Below are 27,641 nucleotides of genomic sequence, written 5' to 3'. Positions count from 1 at the left end.
ACCTACATGACATGGGTAGAGAGTTACAGCAATCTGTCATATGATTTAGGCCTAAATAAGCACATTTTGCAAGAAAATAACCAATAACACCAATACTGTTAAAAGATACTTTTCAGAATTGTATATTTATATATTTGTTTCTAATTTAATAAAAATAAAATTAACTTGATACTAAAGCTTTTAAGATGAGAGCACAGCAGAATTATTTATGAAACTGATTATAAAGTGTATTTTCCTCATTTTCACTTACTTCATAGACTCAAAATTAAGACTCTTGATTCACCTTTAGGAAAGTAATATTTATTCATGTGACACTGCACAATTACTGTTCTCTTTATTTGATTGGAAGAAAGGAAAGAAAGATTAGTTTAGAAATCCATATACTCACAAATAACAGATAAGTGCAAAGAGGATACGTAAATCCCACCAGCAGATTGGCAATCAAGCAATGCACACTGTTGTAAATATGGATTGTTTACAAGATCATATTTTCCATATGTATGTTCTAATTTATTTGGTGTCTTTCCAAATGATTAAACTTACTGGGAGTTTACCCAAAACAGTTCTGATATGTAGGATCAGGCATAGCAAATTTTATCAATCTGTCTTTTGACTGAGTTCACTATTATTGGCTTTCAGTATTTTTTGCCATATGAATATCTCTGTCTTACTTTTGGAGAAATCAACGCGCTAATTTTGTCATAAATAGAAAATTAAATTTATTGATGATTCATGTGAGTTTTATAGTAAATGTAAAAATGCTAGCACTTCGAATGTATTAATAGTAAGTAAGATCTGGATTAGAAATCCTTGTCAAGCAGATTCAGTGTTTGATGACATATATTAACCAGAACACTAACATCTGGATAAGTATATAGTGGAGACAGTTTGTAGAGGTATGTATCAGATGAATTTTCATGTCATTGCATTGTTTTATACCCTTAAGTTCATGTAACTGGGAATTTATGCCCTTATGTTCATCTGGGAATACAGATGACTTAGAAAAGAATGAAATATTTGTCAGTGTGAGAGATTCCAAAAAGGAAATAAATGGTATTTATTATGTATGGTTTAAAATTTCAATTGATATTAAACATTAAATATAGCAGAGACAGGATTTTAAAATATTATTAAATATTATGTTGACTAATATTTCTTAAGAAGGAATAAATGGGTAATAAGTAAGTTAGTACAAATGGCCCCCAAAATAATGATCAATAAAGGAACAATATTTTGCCATTTTGTAAGGATAACAACTAAATTACAGAAATTCTATTGCGTGTTTACTATTACAAGTTAGGTTGGGTAGCTCTTTATTACTGGATATTTGATAATTTTTTTTTATTTTTAGAATTGGATTTATATAATAGTCACTTTCCTTTAGTGTGTTGTCTAAAACTAGCTGCATGCTTACTGGAAGAAATAAGGAGTTTTTCCCTTTTACTGAATAGGTTGACTTCTTCTGGATTTATCTGTGACTTTCATTTAAAAAGATTGTCCATAGCCTAAATAAGCACACATACAATGTGTTTGACATTTTATTTGCATTTTCTTACCCAGATAATACTGTATAAAAATATGGACAGTCAAAATGGTAGTTTTTCATACATGATTCCTGATATTTTAATTTTTAAACTGGTTAAGTTAGTGTTAGGTAGAAATAAGTGTAGAATAATGGTGTTTATTAGAAAAGCACAATATTAATTCTGTATTATGTAAAGTTAAAAGGTATAAACAGCCATGAGAACGAAGCAAGGGGTACACAGACATCTTGGCTTCAGCTAAGTAAAGATGGTGATTTCTGGCTTTGAGTAACTGTGAGAAGAAAACAACAACAACAAAAAAGCAGATATATAAAGGCGTAAATAATGACAGGCCTGTGAGAGTATCATCCTGCTTCACTAGACCTAGGGGTTTCATTAAGCATATATTTTTAATATGGTTTAGACATACATAAAACAACCATAATTATATATTAAGAAAGCAAGATGTTATTCCAATTCATAGGCATTATTAGATACTTTTACCAGTAAGATAAAGAAATTAGAATAAAAGACTGTTGGAGAATGTTCAAATAGAGCTCATAAAATGGTGCTTTATTTAATGGAACAGATGAAACATTACTGGGATAGAAATTAAACTACTTGATTATTGGATCATTCTTGGTCAAATTTCTTTTTAACAATTCACTGGAAATTACATCTTCAAGCAGTTCAACATAGAGTCTTATTTCTGAAACACCAACCTTTCCTTCATTTCTTGAAAATGAAGTTTCATAATGGATCAATACTATGTGTTTTCTAGTTTGTTTAGTAATTTAAGGTTTATATTTGATGGCTAACTGAAGCTCTTTGCTCTTCCCTTCCCTTTGAATATAGATTGACTGAACTATCAGGGTAAAAATAAACATAGTATGTTATCCAGCCAATCATCCAATATATGAATGATAATTAGTTGGCAAATGAAGTTTAACTTCAGTTCTTATGAATATTATTTCTAGGTACCTGATATTTAAACAACCAGAGGAGAAATTTTAATTTTTTAAAAATAAATTATCGAAGCAGTATTTTCCCTTCAATAGGATAACAATAAAAATTAAAACATCTTATTTACTTTCATAAGTAATTTACATAAGTAAATTTCAATCATAAAATCCAAAGGAGAAAAATGACCTTGAAATTAATCTAGTATACTCAGTCATCCAATACATGAATTTTTTCCCACATATTCGTATCAGACTGTCATTCATCCATGTATACTGTCTTCAGTAGGAACAAAAAAAGGATAGTATAATTAGTACTGCTTAAGTGACTGTCTTTCACAATAATATTTAATGGCTCCACACTGCCTAAACAATATAATATAAATTATTTAAGACCAAATTACTTAATATCATGTGTCTCACACACAATTTGTCTCCTTCAGCCAAATTTCTTCCCCTTCAGAACCAATTTTGACCTTCTATAGTAATGTTCTCACATTACTATAAAAAATACCTGAGACTGGGTCATTTATAAAGAAGAGATATTTAATTGGGTCATGATTCTGCAAGCTCTAAAGGAAGCATTGGAGCTTCTACTTCTGGGAGGCCTCAGGAAACTTAAAATCATGGCAGAAGGCAAAGGGAAAGCAGGCATGTCTTACATGGCTGGAGCAGGAGCAAGAGAGAGAGGGCAGGTGCCACATACTTTTAAACTACCAGATCTTGCAATTACTTACTCATTCACTATCACAAGAACTGTAACAAGGAGACGGTGCTAAGCCATTCATGAAGAATCCACCCTCATGATCCAATTAGCTCCCACTAGTCCGCACCTCCAACACTGGGGATTACAATTTGACAAGAGATTTGGGTATGAACACAGATCTAAATCGTATTATTCTGCCCCTGGCCCTTCCCAAATTTCATATTCTTCTCACATTGCAAAATACAATCATCTTTTCTCAACAGTCCTCCAAAATTTTAACTCATCCCAGCATTAACTCAAAAGTCCACAGTCAAAAATCTCATCTAAGACAAGACAAGTCCCTTCAATCTATGAGCCTGTCAAATAAAAACATGTTAGTTACTTTCAAGATATTATGGGGGTATAAGCGTTGGGTAAATACTCCTGCTCCAAAAGGAAGAAATCATCCAAGAGAATGAGTGGGGCTACAGGCCCCACTCAAATCTGAAACTCAACAGGGCTATCATTAAATCTTAAAGCTCCAAAATGATCTTTGACTCCATATCTCATATCCAGGGCACATTGGTGTAAGGAGTGGGCTCCCAAACTCTGCTCCTGTGGTTTTGCAGAGTTTAGTCCTGTGGCTGCTCTCAAGGGCTGACGTTTAACGCCTGTGGCTTTTCCAGGTGACAGGTGCAAGCTGTTGGTGTATCTACCACTCTGGGGTCTGCAGGACAGTGACCCTCTTCTCACAGCTGCATTAGGAGGCAGTGCTCCAGTAAGGACTCCGTGTGGGGGCTTCAGACCCACTTTTCCCCCTTTGCACTGCCCTAGTAGAGATTCTCTATGAGGGCTCTGCCCCTGCAGCAGACTTCTTCTTTGACATCAAGACTTTTCCATACATCCTCTGAAATCTAGGTGGAGGCTCCGAAGCCTCAACTCTTGCACTCTGGGCACCAGCAGGCTTAACCCTATGTGGAAGGTGCCAAGGCTTACAGCTTGCACCTTCTGAAGCAGCAGCCCAAGCTGTACCTGGGCCGTTTTGAGCTACAACTGGAGCTGGAGCAGTTGGGATGCAGGGAGCAGGGCCATGAGGATGCTGAGGCTGTGCAGGGTAGCAAGGCCCTGGCCACGACACGAAACCATTCTGTCCTTGTAGGCCTCTAAGCCCATGATGGGAGGGGTTGCAAAGAAAGTCCATGAAATGCCTTAGAAGCCTTTTAACCATTGTCTTGGCTATCGGCAATTGGCTCCTCTTTACCTATGCAAATTTCTGCAGCCTGCTGGAATTCTTCCCCCAAAATGAGCTTTTCCTTTCTACCACATGGTAAGACTGCAAATTTTCCAAGCTTTTATGCTCTGCTTCCCTTTTAAATGTAAGTTCTAGTTTTTTTGCTCACACACGAGCATAAGTTGTTAGAAGCAGCCAGTCCACCTGCTAAAAGCTTTGTTGCTTAGACATTTCTTCCACCGTATACCCTATATCATTTCTCTCAAGTTTAAAGTTTCACAGACCCCTACGGCAGAGGCACAATCCGAGCTCTTTGCCAAGGTGTAACAAAAGTGACCTTTGTTCCAGTTCCCAATAAATACCTCATTTCCATCTGATACCTTCTCAGCCTGGACTTTGTTGTCCATATCACTATCAGTACTTTGGTCATAACAACTTAGCAAGTCTCTAGGAATTTCCAAATTTTTCCTCATCTTCCTGTCTTTTCTGAGCACTCCACACTCTTACAACCTCTGCCTGTTACTCAGTTCCAAAGCTGCTGCCACATTTTCAGGTATCTTTATAATAATACCCCACTCTCATTACCAATTTTCTGTATGAATCCAGTCTTGCATTGCTATTAAGAAATATCTGAGACTTAGTAATTTATAATAAAAAGAGGTTAATTGGCTCATGGTTCTTCAGGCTGTAAAGGAAGCATAGTAGCTTGTTTCTGGGGGAGCCTCAGAAAACTTACAATCATGACAGAAGTCAAAGGGAAAGCAGGCATGTCTTACGTGAACAGACCAGCAGCAAGAGAGGGGAGGTGCCACACACTTTTAAACAACCAGATCTCACAATTACTCACTCATTCACTATCTCAGGAACACCACTAAGGGGATGGTGCTAAAGCATTCATGAAGGATCCACCCCAATAATCCAATCACCTCCCACCAGGCTCCACCTCCAACACTGGGGATTATAATTCAACATGAGATTTGGACAGGGACACAGATCCAAACCATATCATGTTAATAGTACTATTAATAGTGTATTATATGCATATCAAGTTTTTATATAAAACTCTAAGGCTTTTAAAATTTTCTTGTGCAATGATAAATGATAGGTTTCTCGTTTAGGTAACTCATTAATCAAGTTATTGTTATTTGCATTTAGTAGTATATTATGAGTGGTATGTTATATTCATTTAACTTCATTACATAGGAAGGAATTGAAATATTCAAATTTTTAGAAGTTTTCCAGTATGTTTATATGCTACAGTTTTTACTAGTTTTTTTAAGCAGCTTTTTTGAGGTATAATTGATACGCAAAAAACCTCATATATTTAACTTGATACAAGCTAGTGTCTTTGGACATACCCATGAAACTATCAGGACTATCAAAGTAACAGACATAGCCATTCCCTCTAAGAGTTTTCTTATACCTCTTTGTGTTCTGTTTTTATTTTAATTTTAATTTTTTTATTTTAGGGACATTTAACATGAGATCTATCCTATCAACAAAATTTAAAGTAAACAATCTACTATTGTTAACTATAGGCGTTTTGTTGTATAGCAGATCTCTAGAACATATCCATTTTTACTAGCTGTATTATTAAACAATTCAAGAGCCTATTCATGACTTTTTTCCCAAATATTTGAATAAGTGATTTTGTTATGCTTTGAAAATTTGTGTTACAATTTTCTTCTTGGTGTCAGAATAATTTATATCAATTTCACGCAGAAATAAAGTAAGTTTCTTATATGGTGAATTATGATTGTACATGCCACGTTGTTAAGTATATTTGTGACAGAAGAGAGTTGATGTTTCTACTAGATTTTAAAATCCCCTGCTTAATTGTAAGTTAAGTGTGATTATTGGAAGAATTTCCCACACGCTAGCTTCTTATTCCATCCTTGTCAAATCTACATTTTACTTCAATATTCCCATATAGCTCTACACGTAGTGCTGGGGAGAAAAAATATGTCCACCTTATTTTTTGATTTCTGGCTTTTGCCAGAAGTTCTGAGTTTGTAGACGTGCCACGCAAGTTAAAACAATAGATAGTAGAAATTTTGCTGGAAAACTTTCATGCCTTAAGGTAACTTCATAATAAGAAAACAACAGTGAACCATATAAATATCTCTCCCTTTAAGTCAAACCAAGTGCATTTCCAACTCAACTTCCCTTAGACAAACTCCAAATTGCCAACAGTCACTCCAAGGCCACTAATACAAGGAAGATTAAGATGGAGGTGAAGTTGAAGTGAAATATTACAGTTAATTTCACTTAATAAAATTTAAAATGTCACAAAAATATGTGATGATGGGAATACAGTGTTAGATCCCTCATCACCACCTCTACCAGGGTCTTGGACAGGATATATGTAATGGATTCCTTTAAATTTAAGCACTATTCTATGCTTAATGATATTTTATGATACATGGTAAATTCACTTCTGAATATGTTCTATCCCCAGGTTGGGTGAAAAAAACATCTCTTAACTTTATTTGCTTATTTATTTATTTATATACATATAGACTCAACCTGCTCTTCTGTCTTTATATTCCTAGGGACATGATTTAACCCTTTGTAACAATATATAATAGTGCTTCCTCTAAATTTAATTTTCCATCTCTATTGACAGTCTGTACTTTGAGGCAATGCAGGAGAGCTTGTCTATTACTTTGAATGGTGGTTGCCTTAGTATTACATTGCATGCTATTCTGTCATTCAAAGAAGACATTGTGTAAATATCTCAGAATCAGTAAGGATTTGGAGCCCTCACCAAAACCAGAATAGTAAGGTAAATTTCAGAAATGAACTAGGGAATTGTCCAAACTTGGAAGGAAATGAAAACAAAATTATAAATTTTCATAGAATTTTATTTGGGTCATGGAAACAAATCTTAAAGGTATTTCTAGTATCAATTCTCATAGCGTTACAGATATAAAAGATGCTCAGTAAATGTTTTAATTGTTAGTCTAAAAAAATCTATCAAAAAATAAATGGAAGTAGTAAACATTTTGTGTTCTACCACAAGGCAGAGAAGACCTTTCCTGCCCTTAAGTTGATTCTGGCTTTCTCTTTTGTGTTCCCTGGAGTGAGTCAGCATTAAGGCTGATTAAGCCAGTTGTTAAAATTAAATTGCACTTGTCAAAATAAATGAACTAAGTACCAACAAAGGAATTTGAGGGTTTTTTTCTACCTCTTGCTTTGTTTTTTCTTTTTTGTAAAGTAATAGCATTTGGTAACCTTCAGTGTGTATATTAATAACAAGTAATCACATTGATAATGATAAGCTGAGGATAGGTATTGATTATTGATTACTAAGAAAGTGTAATACATGTGCTAGTTATTTTCTACATATAATGCACAAAGAAAAAATGCTTCCTATTAAAAGGCTATTTTTGATATAAATTTTTCCTTGGAAAATAATTGGATATCTCAGAATAGACAAGAATCTCTTCTTTTAGTAGAAAGCTTTCCGAATTTCAGGGTGGAGGAAACATTGTCTACAAATGAGGTAAATGTAATGATAACCTTAAGAAGTTATAGTACAGAAGGAATAGCAGTGTTAAGACTTGTTTTAATATGATGATTACTGCCACTAACAAGCTCTATGAATTTACCCAGTCATTTCAAATCTCAAAGATTCAATCTCATCACTTATTAAATGCAAGTATAAACACTACATAGTATTTAAAAAATAGTACATCCATTAAAATGCCTGATATTGTTATTATTATTATTATTATTTGAGACGGAGTCTCACTCTGTCTCCCAGGCTGGATTGCAGTGGCACTCCATGCACTCTGCTCACTACAACTTCCACCTTCCGGGTTCAAGCGATTTTCCTCCCTCAGCCTCCCGAGTAGCTGGGATCACAGGTGCCCGCCACCATGCCCAGCTAATTTTTGTATTTTTAGTAGAGACGAGGTTTCATCATCTTGGCCAGGCTGGTCTCAAACTCCTGATCTCAGGGTGATCCACCCACCTCGGCCTCCCAGAGTGCTGGGATTACTGGTGTGAGCCACCACATCCAGCACCTGATACTATTTTTGATTCAACCTTCTCTATCTGCTTAAAAGAAATATGCTTACTGTTGCTGCTTCTGAGGAAGACAGTCTGCCTTATTTCACGTTTGGTCTTTCTCCTTTATATGTGACAGTGCAACATGCAAAGTTTATGGGCTTTATGTGAGTTCTCCATTCTTTGGATTGGTTAGACAATTTCCCTGAAAAGGAAAGGGTACCAAGAAAGGAATCCTCAAGTATCTGAAAAATGTATTGGTCCCTAGAATAATAAATGTTGCCCCAGGTCTATTGATTCTAAGGGGAAAGGCATAATGAAAAAGGTAGGTGTTTTATTTATTCAGAGGCCGTTAAAATGTTCTTTTAAAGTAAATTTTGTTATTATTCCCTAAGAACTTATATGTGGCCAGCCTTTCTAAACTGGTAGAAAGAATCATTCCCAATATATGGGTAAGTTATATTTTCCAATTAGTAATTTAAATATTTAAAGAGTAAAATTAATTTTAAGACTTTCTCACTGAATGATGCCCCCATCTATATGTCCTTCAAACATTTATTTCTTCCTCAACAAATCACAGATATTATAGCTGAAAGCCAATAATATTTTTAAATTAATAAACGTGTTGGCATTTATATTTGCTGTTTCCTGTGCATAAGCACTTTAAGCAAATCATTATTTAATCTTTCCAAAAGCTCTATTCAACAAATATTCTTTATTTGACTACTAGACAAGGTACTGTCCTGGGCACTAGGGTGTGCAATGATGGATAAACAATCAAACAAAAAATAATAAATAACTCATATAGTTTATTTGTTACATGGGAATGTGATTATTCACATTCTCCAGAGCAAGAAACAACAGGCTGACAGGGATTAAGTGTGTTCCAGGGAATTAGTGACTGAAACCATTTGAATCAAGATCTATGGTGACTTGAAAGCTCTTGCACCTTACTACTTCCTCACCATGTAAATCTAGTGTACCATAGAAATTCAACTAATTTTGATTGATTTTATTAATATTATTCATTTTGTGTTTTTAATTTTAAAACAAAACATTTATTTTTGTATTATACAGTCATTTCAGCCTCCTTAAAGGCAGAGACTATGACTTATTAAATTTGGATCTTCGAGTCCTGGAAAAAAAGCCTGGTGCATAGTAGGAGTTCAATAAATATTTACTGAATTTTTTTTTACCTTTGATGAAACCAAAAGCTTAAAGAGGTAGAGTGATTTGCGCAAAATTGTCCAACTAGATGTTGACCATCATATTCTATGACCTTACTATGTATATCTTTCATTTTCCTAATCTGCTGTTAATGCAATCCCTCCTTCTTTGTTTCTTGGGTTCCTCAGTCCCCTATTTATGTCCATGACCCATTAATTTCCACCCCTCCACATTCCTAATACTCAGCTCTCTCACTCACCTTGTTCCTCCTCCTCCTTGTACTTTCAGCTACCATCTCTTTAACGCCTCCACCTATGACACTCCACACCAGACCACAGTCACTCAAGGGTCAGCAGCTGTCACACAGCAGAAACAAAGATTTAAATTTATTAAAGTCATCCCCAGAGAGGTAAGAAGGTAGCGTCTGAAACCTATAGTACCTTACTTATGTCTTTTCTGTGGTGTGCATCATGTTTTGCCATTTAAATAAATAATTATTCATTTATATGGGTTTCTCACTGCCTCCTAGATTGCAATACAATTTATAGAGTGAGATCGTGTCTTACTTTTTGTCTATGCTTTGCAGCATATAGCAGAGTGGCTCATTCACAGTAACTGCTCAACAAATATTTGTTGACTATTCGATTTTCTTGTTTAAAAAGTTAGTGTTTGTGAATCTAAAAAGGTTCCCCTAACCCATCTAGTTTGGAATCATCAATCATTTTCTATTTCCTTATCTTAATAAATTTGGTTTTCCAAATCTCTGAAGGGCTAGTGACTTTCTTGTTTTTTCTTTCCAACAAAAAGGATAGCTAAAATGCCACTGTGTATCATTATTCATAATTTTTATATCTACAACTTAAGATTATTCATAGGTCTCTACCAGTCCCAAACTTTTTAAGTAAAGGTTTATTGTGATTTACTGCATCTTATAAATGATGCCCATCTCTACATGAGGGAAAAAACATTTCAGAGAAGTAATATTTTTAAGCCTTGTCAATTCTTCTGAATAAATGACAGAGAATAAAACCAAGGAAATAGTGAAAACATTGAAATAAATAGAAAGGATATAATGTATAAAACATTTGTTCCTAAAGCTCTATTTTCATATGATTTAGATAGCTGCTTAATTAATGAAAAGCTTAAGCTAAATATCTGTAAATTACAAGGTTAGCCAAAAAAAATTATTTATGTTATCTCTTAATGCTAACACCCATATTTTAAAATAAAATACACATAAAAAAGTGTTCCTAAACCTTCAGCTCTTTATATTTTAAAATTCTTGAATGCATTATCCTAAAGCACATGCAAAAAGAGATGACAAGAAAACCCTTAAGTCTAACCTCTAAAGAATAGACGATCTAATTAAAATCAAGACATTCATACAAACATGGCAAGAGACATATTGGTTATGCATTTATCAAATTGTAAAAAATAAAATGATTAATAATGTACATGTTTCTCAATATTTTATAAATGAGTGCACTCTATTTATTTCAAGACATCACTGTACTATGCTCAAGTCCATGAAGCTCTACTCAACAATTGCTGTTGAATCTAGTTCAAACACTCAACTGATTATCTTCCTTTTTCATCCAACCATGCAGACCTGCCAATTTGATGAGCAGCCACAACCTCTTTTAGCCAACCATAAGGAATGTGAATCAGTCAGAAATGATTCTGATTGATCAAATATTGTTTTTACAAACCAGGATTCATTAAATAATTATTTCCCTTTACTATTTTATTTATTTCATAACAAATTTTGGAGCAGATTTGTTGTGAACTTTAAATCATCTTCCTTATCATACTAAATTCAATACATTCCTTGAAATATATAAGATTACTTCTTGATTTCCGAGTGATGGTAATACTCATTAGTTATCTGAGGGAATTTGGTTGAAGTATCTAACAACTTTATATCTTAGTTTTAAAATCAGTTAGTAAGAGAGACATGAATAAGACTATTCCCAGTATCCCTTTCAGCCCTAGATTTCTATTACTTAATTTCTGTTATTTGCTCATGATCTATTCTCAAGAGCTACTCAATGAAAGAAAAAAGACCTGAAATAATGGAATTTCTAGGCCACATGTTTGTTAAAGGTTAGAGGAATAAAAGTCTTATTCTTAGTTATTGTGGGAAACCCAACGTACTTTATGTAGTAATATCACTTTTTCAGAAAATGTATTCAGTCAACTGAGTACCCAATTAATTAGTTTTCACACTGTGCCATTTGTAGATCCTCTACCATTCAATTATTTCAAAGATTTTCAGCCTTCATAGGCATATTGACACTTTTTCTTAGCACCTGGATGCTGTACTGTACCCTTTATATATCATGATGAAGGAAGGGCAATTGATTGTTATGATTATGTGGTCCAGAATTGATTCAGGGCTGAGTTTTGTTGCTCTTGTGTCCTGAAATATCTAAGGAAGAAAAAATCTCTATAGCAAACTAAGGAATCAAATGACCTCTAAGGATTTTCACTGTTCTATAATTCTATGAGTAGCTGCCTAGAAATGGGAAACCCTGCCCCATTTTCCCCAGGACACTAAAACAGTAGGTGTGATTATTTCAGGAAATCAGGTGATAGATTTGAGGTTAAACAACAATCCGCAGTGTTTTTTCACATGTCTACCCTAGGAAACTAAAACCGAAAGCAAGGCAGCCAAATAGGTCAAATAAATTAAACTAAATCTATAAAAAGAGACTTAGGCTTCCAGGTTTCCAAGTTAATTTTTTTCCAAGTTAATTTATTTGAATAAATATCACAGGGAGGAAAACCAAGAAAAAGGAAGACAGAAAATAACAAAGCAAATACCCTTTTAGTTGAAAAGATTGTTCTGAAGATTATATGAAGTGTGCTGTCATGAGCCTTAAATAAAAAGAATATATCAAGTATATGTTTTACAGGACCTGAGCCAAATGAGGAGTATGTTTGGTTGCACCCATATTCTAGTCACAGAGCATAGTACTGCTCAAATTTACAACCCAGGGACAAGCTTGGCCCAATAGACTATATTTACACCGAAATATATTTAAAACTTAATTTTAATACTTTTGATCTAATACTGAACTTATCATACATATTATTTAATAACTTTCTCTTGGATCTGTGGTGATCAAATGATCCAAAATCTTAAATATAAGATCAAGTATTTAATATTAAATATACTTGAGAATATAATTATGGCAAATATCCAGAACAGAAATCTTATGAAAAGAAGACAAGATCTACCTTTTCTGTGCATCAGACTTTGTTGAAATCAGGGTTTAGGGTCAGAAAAGGGTATAAAGGATAAGACATTCAATCTTTCTGAAGAAAATTTTTATGAATTATCAGGTAGTAAAGCAATGATCAGGGATGGTATTTTTCATAAAACATCAAGGCTCTTCCATAAAGGGATTGTTTGGAGGTAAAATTAAATATTTGTGGATTTTTAAATATTGGTTTATGTATTGTTCCTCTGACACACTATTTTATTTATTACTTGGTTCATTTCTTATATAAAATCCCATGTCATCTGGCACTTACTAGCCTTTGACAGTAGCCATGGTCCTGCCAGGTTCAGTATTTCATGCTAGCTTTGCTGTTTTCTCAAATGAGCCTATATTTTTTATCATTGACTTCCCAGAATCCAACACAAGACTCGTCATATTACAGCTACTCAATACTTTTTTATTTAGTTGAATCTATCACTTTGATAAAGTTTTTATATTGCACTTAGAAATTTGTGAAGTAGTCACTAAAAGCAGTTCAGTGATCCAAGCAGTGTAGTCAAAAATCTGAAAATTTCTGATAACTCTGATCCAAAAAATTTTTGTAAGTAAACAACAAAGTATACCCATGTCCTTAAAACGGAAGTGACTGGCATCCATTGGTTGACATTATTTTCTACCAAATATAACTAATCTTGAAGGTGGATGGACAATTACCCATGTGCAAGAGTGCATTAAACAAAGTTCAAACTGGTTGATTTCTTGTAGGGACACTTTTCAACCTGAGATAAAAGATAAATAGCTTATTAAAATTTCATCAAGAAATATACAGTGGGACTATTAGTATTTATAATGTTTTTAAAGTTGTCTGCATTAGAGAATATTCAATAATTACACTGTAGATTTGAGAGCATTTCTTTGATAACAATTATATTTAGAATTGCTTCTTCTGTTCCCGTTGCCTTTTGCACATATCTGAGCTACAGAAATATTTACATTGTATGTATCTACTTCTCAGGTTTGCTTCTTTATTTAATATTCAGATTGAGAATCTGAACATTTCTTGCCTCTGAACAATCAATCTAAATAAAAGGATTCAATGAAAATTCTTCTAGGATATAAGATAAAATTATAACTTTGATGCTCCATGTTTACTTGACCTTTTTGTTATGAATTCTCAAATATTTTATGTAAGTGAGCTTTTTCTTTCATTCTTCCAAATTAGCACAATTAAACCTATATTGAGTCAAGATTTCTTCAATTATAAGCATTAACTTGAAAATGGGATTACACATGTAGCCATTTTTTGAGATTTTATAATTCGTTGGTTACAAACATTAAACAAATGTTTCCAGTAATTGCAGTTAACCCTGCCGTTTCACCATTGGATAGTAGTTTCCCTTAATAAGAGCTGATTTTATTTGCATAACTTTTCAGTGATTCTTGGATTTTTTAGAGGAGTCTCATTCTAGCTCTTAAAAGCTCATTCCTATTCATTTTCAAAAACCTTTCTCATACTTTATCTAAAGCCCATCTCCTCTCCCTTAATATCAGACTAGACTTGTGGCTCTGGTGAACGTAAGTTCTAGGTATTCTCACTCTCTTTCTCCAACTTCCTATACTAGTTCCTCTAGGTCTGGATTGGTTGGAATGAAGAAGAAGGTCTGAGACACTTCGTTAGTTGACCTACCATGATCAAGTTGCAGTCTTCTTTTTAGTTGGCTGTCATTTCCATCTTTGATTATGGTATATGGGTTTAGTGTATATAGTTAATGGCTTCAATGGGCCTCGGTGAAGTGGGGCTGCCACAAATGAAGCTCATCTAGATACATATCGTCCCCAAGGGTGCTAAACCATATCCTTGGCTAGAGTTTTCTGGAAATTAACACCACTTTTCTCTTATGCATACACTTTTGGTCCCATCTGTAGTATTCCCAGGAAAGAAAATGGTCCCAAACTCACGTACAGCTTACACCCAGTCAGTGTAGAGTTTCCCTGTGAATAAATAAAACTTCGTAAATCTATGGAACTGGGAACCAAGTGCCTTATTTTCTAGCAGCCATGAGCTGTCATCATTTGTCCTTGATTCTCATTTTTCTCATTTTAATTTCACAAGAGAAGATCAGAAAATGTCAGTTTCACTCTTTGCAGAAATCTCTAAATTTTGTGATCTCTCTCTCACTCTCTTAATTCCTGAAAGGGGATGAAATATTCTCTTTGTAGATATAGAATAAACCCAAAAGGCTCCCTTTTCTTTTTAACCCTTTTGCTAAATTGACTATAATCTATGAGGGATGTAGTGATGATTTTGTAGACTGCTGCTTTTCAGCAAACTTAACATGGCTTCATTGAAAACACACTACACACAGACACAGACACACATACATACACACATGCACACACACACACACACACACACACACACACACACACACACTTTTCTTGGGACTCTCAGTTTCAAGATTCTACCATTTCCAAACTTACTCTCTAGCACCTCCATACCTTAGGTTCATCAGTTACTGTCATCTGCTTTAGTCACTTTATTTCCATGATTGTAAATATTTGAAATTGAATTGACTTGGAAAATTAACTTGTGTAGCTACAGATGAAGAATATTAACACATTTTTGACATTTTGTATTATTTTTCTAAGTCTATGACCCTGACACTTAATGGAGAACTATTGCCAACAGTACAATGATTAGTTCAGGGTGTGTCAAAATAGATTTTTGTACACATTTCTCCAAAGAAAGATAATGGTTAGATATTATATTAAATAATAAGGTTATTAAAATCCAAACACATGATGGAACAGGCTGAGAAATCAGCTCCAATTATTATGTTATTTCAACATAACAACATATTCTAACTTAAAAGCAAAGACATAACATATCATCTGAATTCATAGTGTTTTCACAAGTTAAAGCCGACCCATAGTGAAGGCAGGCTTTATATTCTACATGTGGTCACTGCCATCCTACCTAGTATGATTATGATTTCTCCTTTTATTTATTTGTATAGAATAAAACTCACTCTTTTTGGTATTCAGTTCTATAAACTTTGACACAGACAACTGAGTTACAACCACCACAACATGATATAGAAGAGTTCTCCCACCTTCTAATGCATTGTACTCCGTGTCTCCTCTTCCCACCTAATGGCAAATACTAATTTGTTTTCTGTTTCTATAATATGACCTTGTTCAGAATGTCATATAAATAACATAACATAGTGTATAATTCTGCCTTTTGAGTATGGATTCTTCTACTTAGCATAACATATTTGAGATTCATCCCTTTTGTATATATCACTACATTATTCCTTTTTAGTGCTATGTAGTATTTCATCCTATGGACCAGAATTTGTTTATCTATTGAACAATGAAGGATATTTAGATTGTCTTCAGTTTGGAGAAATTATGAATAAAGATGCTATAAACATCTGTGTTCAGTTTTTACATCAACATAAATTTTCATTGCTCTTTGGTTGGGATTGCTGGGTCATTTAGAAAACATATGTTTAACTTTATAGGCAATTGCCTAAATATTTTCCAAAGTGACTTTAACATATTGCCTTCTCACCAGGAACATATGAGAATTATAGTTGTTCTGACCCGTGAAATAACTTCATGTCATCAATCTTTTTCAATTTTAGCCATTCCATAGGTATACACTTGTATCTCATCACAGTTTCATGTACATTTGTCCCAGTGACTAACTATACTGAGCATCTTTCCATGCGCTCATTTATCATCTGCATATTGTCTTTGGTGAATTGTCCAAATATTTGCCCATTTAAACAATGATGTTACTTATTTTCTTATTATTGCATTTTAAAAGCTCTTTATATATTCTAGGTACACATTCTTTGTCAGATATAGATAGATAGATAGATAGATACACACACATATATACATATATGTATATATATACATATATATATATATAAACATGTTCTCAATTCTGTGGCTTGTTTTTCATTCCTTTATTTCAAGTGTCTTTTGCAGATAAGTTTTTAATTTTGATAAAATTAAATTTCTTATTTCAAAACAATATCGTGATTTTGGTTTTTTATTTATCTTGTAGCTATGCTTAACGTACGATAACATTTTCACACTTAGGAATGTATGTTGTAACAACTTAAATGAAAAAATATAAAAACAAATTTTATAATAAGTAACAATGTTTTAAAGTAGTCCAAACAAATAATTGTGGATATAGTCAAGATGAGTTGCTTTGAAGATGATTGTGGCATCATAAAATGTTTTTCAGGGTAAACCATGTAGCCTCCCTTCCTTCATTTGGAAATAGTCAAGGGATATAAGTAATAATCCACAATACACTTGCTTAAAAAAAGCCTGGATAAACCTAATGTTCTTCAAAGCCTCCACTTGAAATTTTAAAAAAAAGTTCTGTCTTGACTATATTTTTTCAACAATTGTTATATGTAATGCCTTATTTTATTTATTGTTACAGAGAAGATAGTTTTTACTACATCATCTTAAGAGTACATAAAGACTTTTATCATGGGACATACTGATTGGAATTGTATTAGTATATCTCAAAAGTATGCATTTATTGCACAGTTACCATAATCAGGGCACTTTGTAAGGAAACATAGGAGATCCCATGGCTTAACTAGATATTGGCTAGGGGATATTTGAAAGGAACTTCAATGTGGGAAACCAAAACAGATGGAGAAGTGTGAAAAAAAAAAGGTTGTTAGTGGGAAAATATGATATACATAACAAAAAAGGTGAAAATAACTAATGGATTATAATAATAGCATATTGTACATGAATAGACAGAATGAAATATGCCACTTATTAACATGTTTTGGATTGAATGTAAATCACTATCATGTTATCAAGGAGTAGATAAGTATATTTCATGATTATGTTTTGGTGAGCCCTTATCTCATAATTGTGTGTTGGGAATTTTCATTATCAAAATATTTTGAGATACCAGAGGGAATAATGAATCAAAAAGAAAGATTAAAGAGTAATAAAATTTGATTTTTGATTATGGGTTTCAAAATTAAATACACCTAAGTGGGTGAAATATAGCTGCTTAGGTAAAAGATTAAACTATCAAAACAAAGAGGAGTATTTGTTTTTTCATCTCCATAAGATTGCATAATCAGCAGAGATAATTCATCAATCATTCTGGATACCCTAGAAACTCAAAAAATTCTAAATTTATATAATAAAAAGTAATTAGAAGAATATACGTTGTATTAGAGTAAAATACACTTAATTTATCAGGTGACTTTTTTTTTATCGCCCTAAGGCTTTATCAATGCCTTGTGAGCCCTTTAAGCTTCTTATAAAACGTACATTTAAACTTTTCCTCTTCTGATGGGCAATCTGTTCTCATCTCTAAAGAGTAAATTAATTTTAATGCCCTGAGTCCTGAAATTATGATTAAGGATTACTGAATAAATAGTGTGCTTAGTAGAATTCAAAGACATGTTCCTTATAATTAAAAACTAGTTGGTCAATAATTACTGAGTTCTGAGGGAGAGTAATTCTAATGGGAGGGTTGGTAGGAATGTTAGAAATTAAAAGCCTATTGGGAAGGAGAATTACATAAATTTTTTCACCTCCACACATGGAAGAATATTCCTGTTGCTATAACATGATATATCAGAGAACTGTCATTTGAGTTTACAGGGAAAACAGAAAAAATTCTTAATTAAAATAAATTAATGCCAAACATGTGAATTATGCTTATTTCTGACTAGAATACCTATGTATTTTCTATTAATACGATATCATTATAGAAAGGTTATTGAAAGTCTACCTACCAAGTATTAAATGACTTGCTATTGAATCAGCATTTTTTAGTCAAAATTTTAAATTTAATTTTTATTTTTATATTACAGGTTACATTTACTTATGCATATTAATTATTTGGACATTGTTCATGAGATACAGCAAAACTTATTTTTTTCATGTTTATCCCTGTCTTGGACTTTCTGATACTGGCTGTGATTCAACATGTATGTCTTAAGGATACTCAAAGTTAATGCCCCAGTATGGAAAGTCACCGTCCAAATTTACATAATAATAGACTCTAAACATGCATGATATTTATAATTATTTTCATTGAGATAATATAAAATCAAAATCATAAAATCTGTATTATTTTTGTTTTAGAGTAATAATATATATAGTTTTGAGACATGGTCTCACTCTATTGCCCAGTTTGGTGTTCAGTAGAGGGATTATAGCTCACTATAACCTCATACTACTGGGCTCAAGTGAACCTCCCACCTCAGCCTCTTAAGTAGCTGAGACTACAGGTGTATACTGCAATGTCTGGTTATTTATTTATTCATTTATTTGGTAGAGATGGGGTCTTGCTGTGTTGTCCAGGCTGGTCTCAAACTCCTGGTCTCCAGTAATCCTCCCATCTTGGTCCCTTAAACATCTTGGTTACAAGTGTGAACCACTGTGCCCAGCCTAGAATAATAACATTATTAAAATTTCATTAAATTTGAGTCAATAAAAATATAGGTTGAATCAAACTGAAGCAATAAAGTATTAAACTTTGATTTCATCTGCTGTTTCTACCATTGTTGTAATGATGTAGCACTTTTTTACCCAGCCACAGACTCTGGAAGGGGAATAAGTGGGAGTTCGAGAATGGTAAGGCTAAATAAGTCACAGCAGAAATCAGGAATATGTCTTTCTCTTACTATATCTTATCTAATTTTGGAAACCCCCTAAATATTTCCATTCCCTACTCTTTCTGCTACCTATTAATGACAATGTCAGAAGTAAAGAGTGACCAGTTGGCGCCCACTGAAATCATCATTAGTCTTGACAGTGACTACTAATATCTTTATTAACAGTGCTGGACAATGAGAAAGGCACTAATAGCTACCTGGGGTGTTGTGTTCTGGAGATGCCAAAGGTGAAAGTTCTAACCTTTTTGCTTCAGAAATTGTCAGAAATTCTGACACTACTTTGTTTTTTCAAAATTGCATAAAATGCACACTGCAATGTGTAAAAACCATTTTTTCCCCTTACTTTTGTTGTTTACAGGCTTCTTGATTTAAGATTAATTCATGACTTCAGGGGATTAACACAGGAAGATCTAACAGGCCCTGTGATGCACTGACACCTTTCTAAAAGTGTGTTTCTTTAGACATGATTTTTCAACTACACTTGTGCATCTACAGTCTACTTTAGGTGATGTAGCCCAAGAGATCCTTTATTCCTTTATGGAAAAATAATGAGGCTGAAGATTGGGCAGGAAGACATGGCACTAATCCCCATATGTATCTAGACATGACTAAACCCTGGTAAATATGTAGATTAGAATCAATCTGACATGCCATTGCAATGAGTTTCTTTTCCAAGACCATTTACTTGATATTTTAAACATCAAACATTTAATCTATCTTGAAAAATGGCAATGTAATTTCCATAAATTTAATTTGCAAGGTAGAACCTTTTCAAGAGCGTTATCAGGCCGACTAGATGAGAATTATATGATCACAGAAATCCACACTGAAACTTGAAGGGCCAACTGTCACACATGCACTATTCTAGACTTTTCAGACCATCTGGATGTAATTCTTAAGTATTCATCTGCAACTGCAATTTTTGTTATGGTTTAAGGTCAACTTTAAGACCTAAGCTGGCCAGGCATGGTGGCTCATGCCTGTAATCCCAGCACTTTGGGAGGCTGAGGCAGGCGGATCACGAGGTCAAGAGATCAAGATCATCCTGGCTAACATGGTGAAACTCCATCTCTACTAAAAATACAAACATTAGCTGGGCGTGGTGGCTTACGCCTGTAGTCCTAGCTACTCAGGAGTCTGAGGCAGGAGAATCACTTGAACGTGAGAGGTGGAGGTTGCAGTGAGCCCAGATCACGCCACCGCACTCCAGCCTGGCAACAGAGTGAGACTGTCAAAAAAAAAAAAAACAAAAACAAACAAACAAACAAACAAAACCTGAGCCAAGATCTAACATGTATTAATCTGGAGATGGATCAATCTTTTTTAATGAAATTGTAAAGATTACATATATGGAATAAAACATTGTCTTTTTGATACTTAAGTGATACATAAATATGGAGTTAAAAGCCTGTTAAATATTAAAGCTCTATTGTCTGGAAATAGCTTATATATCATTAGATAAATCCAGAGGTTCTTTGTAGACTGGTACACAAATAAGAATGAAGACAATTTTCTTCCTCTGATTTTTCACGTGAAGTTTGTAGAGAAGAACTTGGCTTTGTATCACAGAAAAAACCTCAGATATCTGAACAATATTGGTGATAACTGGGAGAAAAATATCTGAGAACCAGTATCTCATTTACACAAAATTGTGTAAATGAGAATGCAGCTGGTAAGTGTTTCAAGAATGATTTCAATAATGTTTCAAGAATGATTCTAAGAGGTTATAACAATTACACACATTCAAAATTTAGATGCCATTTAAGATATCTGTAACAAAATACATTTCCTTAGAATTGTCACTAAGTGCTTGATACTGTGTTGTTTCATATGGAATGACCTAGCACTAATAGCTAAAATATGCACATAAAGCAAATGTTGGCTTAAAAATGATAGAAGAGATACATTTCATATTACATTAGAAATACTTTACCTGAGTTCAGCTTTTGTTTTTAGTGGATACCTGTGATAAATAAATTTGAAACAATTCTGCTTCAAGATTAGATGAGATGGCTATTTATCTCCAAAGAAAATAAATATTAATTAAAATTATCATTTATTATTTAAAATTTTATTTACTTATACCCTTAAAGTTGAATATTTTATTTTCCACCTTAATTCCAGTCTATAACTGCAAGGAATATTTGTTTTAGTGTTACAGTTTAATCATTTAAAACCTGAAATATATTTGCAAGGCTACTCAAAGTATGGTGTTGGACTGGTTACTCATCCCAAATTTTGTTACCAGTCTATGACCCGTTAAAGAACTTATGGTAAAATGTAAAGCAACATAGTCACTCAGCTCATTGTTTAGTTTATTAGAACTTTCTTTCGCTTTACTTAACAAGATATTCTTGATGAAGGAAGCAGTGCATCCATTTACATACTACTTCTAACTTCTTATCTCTTCGTAAGTTCTGCACTTCCAGTGGAACCGCATGTGTTCTGTTCACTTTTCCCCCTACTTCACTTACTTCAGTAGTGGTGTACTTCCCTTTGACGACTTGCAAGAAAGCTTGACTTCTACATAGACTTCATTTCTTATTATTTCTAGTAGATTTCTCCTTTTCAGTATGCTTTGATATATGGTCTATAGAGTAAAGTTTGGAATTCAAAAGCACCATTTCTTCTTAGGGGCTCTTAGCTTCTTTTCATGTGGTATGATAATGAGACTTTGATTTTATTCAGTATGCCGTTCATACTAGCTTAGCCACTACATTTCTCATAATTTATTTTTGAAATTTACTATTGATATAAAGAACTACTGCTGTAGTACCCTAAAATGATCTTGAAAGCTTAAAATAATTTGTCTGTGGTTAAATAAAAATAAGAGACATATGGGATAAATGAGCCTTCAATACAGTTTTATGCATATAAAAGCGTAGGAGCATTCTCTTGGATCAGAGTTCTGCCAAAACCAAGCTCATGAAGGCAAACTTGATTTGTAGCATGTTTCTGGTTTTATATGATTATTTATTCTTGTCATAGATGATGGAGCAATAGATGTGAGCAAACCTAGTCACTAGAATTACTGTGGACAATGAGCCTAAAGAAATTAATTTAAAAAATAACAAAACTTGAAGCACTAGATAATATATCCAGCATTTCCTCCTTATTTATACATATTACATGTATACAAATGCAGAAATGCATTGTACAGATATAAGAAATGTATTTGTGTATTTATTATTTTGCTTTCAATTTTTGTAAGTAAAAACTGTATATAGAGTCAATTTTGTTCCTATATCAGAGTATCCTTTCAAAAGATTTATCATGAAGTGAATTATTTGCATAATTTTTCTGATTTTTTCACACAAATTTCAGAATTAGGAAAAGAAACTAAATAAATCAGGCTATCCTATCTCTATATAATAGGATATTTGGGTTATGTTGCTTTCATTTTACATGAATATAGAACAAGGGAATAAACCAGTTCTATAATTGATTCTTATATCCAATGCTTCCAACTATTATTGAAGACAATGAGTCCCATGGTAAGAAAGCTTGACTGTAGTATAGCCATTTAATGTGTACACACACATGCACATGCACCCACACACACACAGAGACACACACTCCCAGCAGTAATTACTTCCTATTGTTGAGATAATTTCTTCCTGTCTAAACAGAAGCTGCTGACCTAGTGAAAAATTTTATTGGTTAGATGATTATATTCCCATATATACACACATATACAGTCATCAAACCATAGCAGATCCTCTTATTTCATATAGTTTTTAAGAAAATGGAGACTAAGAATTCCAAAAGACAATAAACCATTTAGTTAATTTTATGACATATCTGGTTTTAGCATTTGTAGCTTCAATAAAACATATGTTACACCCCTAATAAAACCTGAGTAATGCTGTATCTGTCACCTCTTTCTGCACTTGGAAGTAGTGCACAAGTTATTACCTCGAGAACAGTTGTTCCTGTCTCCTGTGCAGATCCATATCATTCTCAAATTTGCATTCTGATAGAGAAGCAACAAATGTTACTTAAATCTCATGAAGTGTGCTAATTATGCCAAGCTCCGTGAAATTATGGGTGAGAGAGCCAAAAGGAATTCTACAGCTGTATCTTGGGTCTCTTGAGCATATCTTGTCAGATAAATGTCTTTATTACTTATATGATAACCTTAAAATTGCTTTTTTCCCCTAAGTGGTATTCCCTAAACCTCAGTGATATGGAAATTCTCACACAAGGCTAAATAGCAAATACACTTTGTGTTATTTATACAAATAATGGTGATATCTTTAGAGAAACAAGTTGAAATTCACTTTTGAAACTGAATTGAACACGTTTTATCAGTTTTACTTCATTATAAATATTTTCTCTTGTTTTCTTTGCACAGGGTCTGAAAGATAGAGAAGGAAATAGGAAATAATCTTATATCCTTTCCCTCTAATTATAAAAGGAAGAGACTTTGGAGCATGACTGTGTACATGCCCATCTCTGGCCTCTACTGGAAGAATTGAGGATGGTCTCCTCATATATGCAAAGCATGGGAATGTAGAAGTATTTGCCACCAAGGTTTTCTAGATTACATGTACCCCAAAAAGCACAACTATATGTGGGTAGGGAGCATTTAATATGATTCTTCTTCCTCTTAGTTAAAAAAAACTTAAAGTGGAAAAAAAAAACACATATGAAAGTGCAGCTTTTAACTGGTACCATTTCCTCTTTCTTTTTGTTTAAATCATATCTGGCCCCGTATGGGAGTGTAAGATAGTTCTGGGCTCAGTTTCCAGAATTAGACAGCCTGCTTGGGTTTGAATCCCTGCTCAGTCACTTGCTGGCTGTGAGAACTTGGACAAATTAATTAACGTTTCTATGTCTCAGTCTCTTCTACTGTAATTAGAATGATAATAATAGTTACTTCATATGGTTGCTGTGAGAATTAGAAGCATTAATATATGTAATGAGCTTAGACCAGGGCTTGGCACATAGCAGCCACTGTTGAAATGTTATCATTGTTATTACAAGAATCTTGGAGCATCAGTTCTGTACAGAAGAAATGGAAATGTTCCTATTTATTATATCCCAAATGTTCTCATGTATTAAGCGTACAGTTTAATCTCTGAGAGACTGTCATTGTCAGAGAGTGAGCTCAACAGAGAATTTCTTACTGAGAAAGGCATTCCTATGCAAAATATTAAATTTTATTTCCCCAATAGGGGCCATTCTCCACCCTCAGAAAGCAGCAACTCGGAGAAAGTCACCCTGTGACTGGGAAAATCTCAATCCATTGGAAATCCATATCACATGTCAGACCCATCGAAGAGACAAATCTAATCCTTTTGGCTGAAAAATAGCTTGCAGCAGCCGGTTGTCCTTAGTTTACTAATATTTGGAAGAATGGTTTGGTTTGGCAATCAATGTCCTAGAGCCACCCAAGACCTTGATATTATCATTTTTCTTTGAAGCCATAAAGAGGATTACTGCAGAAGCAGATAGTCTGTAATTTTATACAATAACTTGCAGTTTTACTTGTCACCAAGTTTATTGTGCTGGAAGCACACCGTCTCTGTTTTCTAAAGATCCTTGTTGAAATTTAATTACTTGGAGTCGATTTTTTAAGTCTCAGATTTTATATATGCTTGCTAACCAAGATTTCATTTACAATAAAAATGTGTGCCCTTTAAAATAAAAAGTTATAACAAAAAGTATATACTGCACCAGTTAATACTTTATTATTTACCAAGTGCTTTTAAAAACATCATTCATTTGGTTTTAAAAATAAGCCTGCAAGATAACAAGAACAGTGTTTTTCAGCCCTTTTTAATGGATGTGGATCTTATTTTACAAGATGCCCTCACTTGTTTAAGTTCACAAAGCCAGCATGTGGGAGAACAAAGTCTTGAACCCAAACTGCCACCAAATTCAGTATTAACTATATGAGATATTTGAGAGAGAGAGCACTTAAAGATAAACTGAAAATCATCATTTCTTTTTTTCTTATTATACTTTAAGTTTTAGGGTACATGTGCACATTGTGCAGGTTAGTTACATATGTATACATGTGCCATGCTGGTGCACTGCACCCACTAACTCGTCATCTAGCATTAGGTATATCTCCCAATGCTATCCCTCCCCCCTCCCCCAACCCCACCACGGTCCCCAGAGTGTGATATTCCCCTTCCTGTGTCCATGTGATCTCATTGTTCAATTCCCACCTATGAGTGAGAATATGCGGTGTTTGGTTTTTTGTTCTTGCGATAGTTTACTGAGAATGATGATTTCCAATTTCATCCATGTCCCTACAAAGGACATGAACTCATCATTTTTTATGGCTGCATAGTATTCCATGGTGTATATGTGCCACATTTTCTTAATCCAGTCTATCATTGTTGGACATTTGGGTTGGTTCCAGCTCATCATCCCTGGCCATCAGAGAAATGCAAATCAAAACCACAATGAGATACCATCTCACACCAGTTAGAATGGCAATCATTAAAATGTCAGGAAACAACAGGTGCTGGCGAGGATGTGGAGAAATAGGAACACTTTTACACTGCTGGTGGGACTGTAAACTAGTTCAACCATTGTGGAAGTCAGTGTGGCGATTCCTCAGGGATCTAGAACTAGAAATACCATTTGACCCAGCCATCCCATTACTGGGTATATACCCAAAGGAATATAAATCTTGCTGCTATAAAGACACATGCACACGTATGAAAATCATCATTTCTTGATGGCTGTTCTAAAAATCTTAGTCCATTTTAGATATCACAGATACTAGAATTAGGTTATTTTAATTTTAAAAATGGATCCACATAATGCCAATAATTTAAAACTTATTAGTTTTAGAAGATCTCAAAATTACAACAATATTTTAGAGAACAAAGTGAATTAAAACAATGTAGTGATTGCATGATAGATTTCTTACTAATAATTTTCCAAGGACATTACATTTTCCTTAAAGAAGATCAAAAAGTGGGTGAAGGACATGAACAGACACTTCTCAAAAGAAGACATTTATGCAGCCAAAAGACACATGAAAAAATGCTCACCATCACTGGCCATCAGAGAAATGCAAATCAAAACCACAATGAGATATCATCTCACACCAGTTAGAATGGCAATCATTAAAAAGTCAGGAAACAACAGGTGCTGGAGAGGATGTGGAGAAATAGGAACACTTTTACACTGTTGGTGGGACTGTAAACTAGTTCAACCATTGTGGAAGTCAGTGTGGTGATTCCTCAGGGATCTAGAACTAGAAATACCATTTGACCCAGCCATCCCATTACTGGGTACATACCCAAAGGATTATAAATCATGCTGCTATAAAGACACATGCACATGTATGTTTATTGTGGCACTATTCACAATAGCAAAGACTTCGAACCAACCCAAATGTCCAACAATGATAGAATGGATTAAGAAAATGTGGCGCATATACACTATGCAGCCATAAAAATGATGAGTTCATGTCCTTTGTAGGGACATGGATGAAATTGGAAATCATCATTCTCAGTAAACTATCGCAAGAACAAAAAACCAAACACCGCATATTCTCACTCATAGGTGGGAATTGAACAATGAGAACACATGGACACAGGAAGGGGAACATCACACTCTGGGGACTGTTGTGGGGTGAGGGGAGGGGGGAGGGATAGCATTGGGAGATATACCTAATGCTGGATGACGAGTTAGTGGGTGCAGCGCACCAGCATGTCACATGTATACATATGTAACTAACCTGCACATTGTGCACATGTACCCTAAAACTTAAAGTATATAATAATAATAAATAAAAAAGAAGATCACTTAAAGTAAAAAAGAGATATGTTCCTTTTAAAATCACAGTTATTCAGTTTCAATAGCATTTTGTCAGATTATGAGCATAAACAATATAAAGAATTTTAAATAATCAACTCATTTTATAAGATGTAAAAACACATTTATTTGTGATTGTAGGAAGTCCTATAAAATAAATATTTAATGCTGAAGATGCTAAAGATTTGCCCTTTTATGAAAATGTAAAAGACTTACAACAGAAAGAGGAAAGAAAATACAGGTTATAATAAACCAGAATACTCTAAATGTACCTAAACTAAGAGAGAGAATATCATTTCCAGGAGAAATGGATGTAACTAGCTTTCTGTCAGAAAAAAAAAAAAAAAAAAAAAAAAAACTACACATGGCTCAG

At 33.8% G+C, this 27,641-nt stretch overlaps 2 annotated features.

Annotated features, from left to right (window-relative positions):
• Positions 3,706–4,212: an enhancer, noted in NCBI's record as "OCT4-NANOG-H3K4me1 hESC enhancer chr13:58626281-58626787 (GRCh37/hg19 assembly coordinates)". NCBI's record gives its function as "activates a minimal SCP1, AML or CMV promoter by ChIP-STARR-seq in primed H9 embryonic stem cells {active_cell/tissue: H9 hESC(primed)}" and the evidence as "EXISTENCE:reporter gene assay evidence [ECO:0000049][PMID:30033119]".
• Positions 4,213–4,720: an enhancer, noted in NCBI's record as "OCT4-NANOG-H3K4me1 hESC enhancer chr13:58625773-58626280 (GRCh37/hg19 assembly coordinates)". NCBI's record gives its function as "activates a minimal SCP1, AML or CMV promoter by ChIP-STARR-seq in primed H9 embryonic stem cells {active_cell/tissue: H9 hESC(primed)}" and the evidence as "EXISTENCE:reporter gene assay evidence [ECO:0000049][PMID:30033119]".

This window comes from Homo sapiens, chromosome 13 (genome assembly GCF_000001405.40).
Source record: "Homo sapiens chromosome 13, GRCh38.p14 Primary Assembly".
In the NCBI taxonomy this organism is placed as follows: domain Eukaryota; kingdom Metazoa; phylum Chordata; class Mammalia; order Primates; family Hominidae; genus Homo; species Homo sapiens.
The sequence above is the reverse complement of the archived record's forward strand: the minus strand, read 5'-3'. Positions and strand labels throughout refer to the sequence as shown.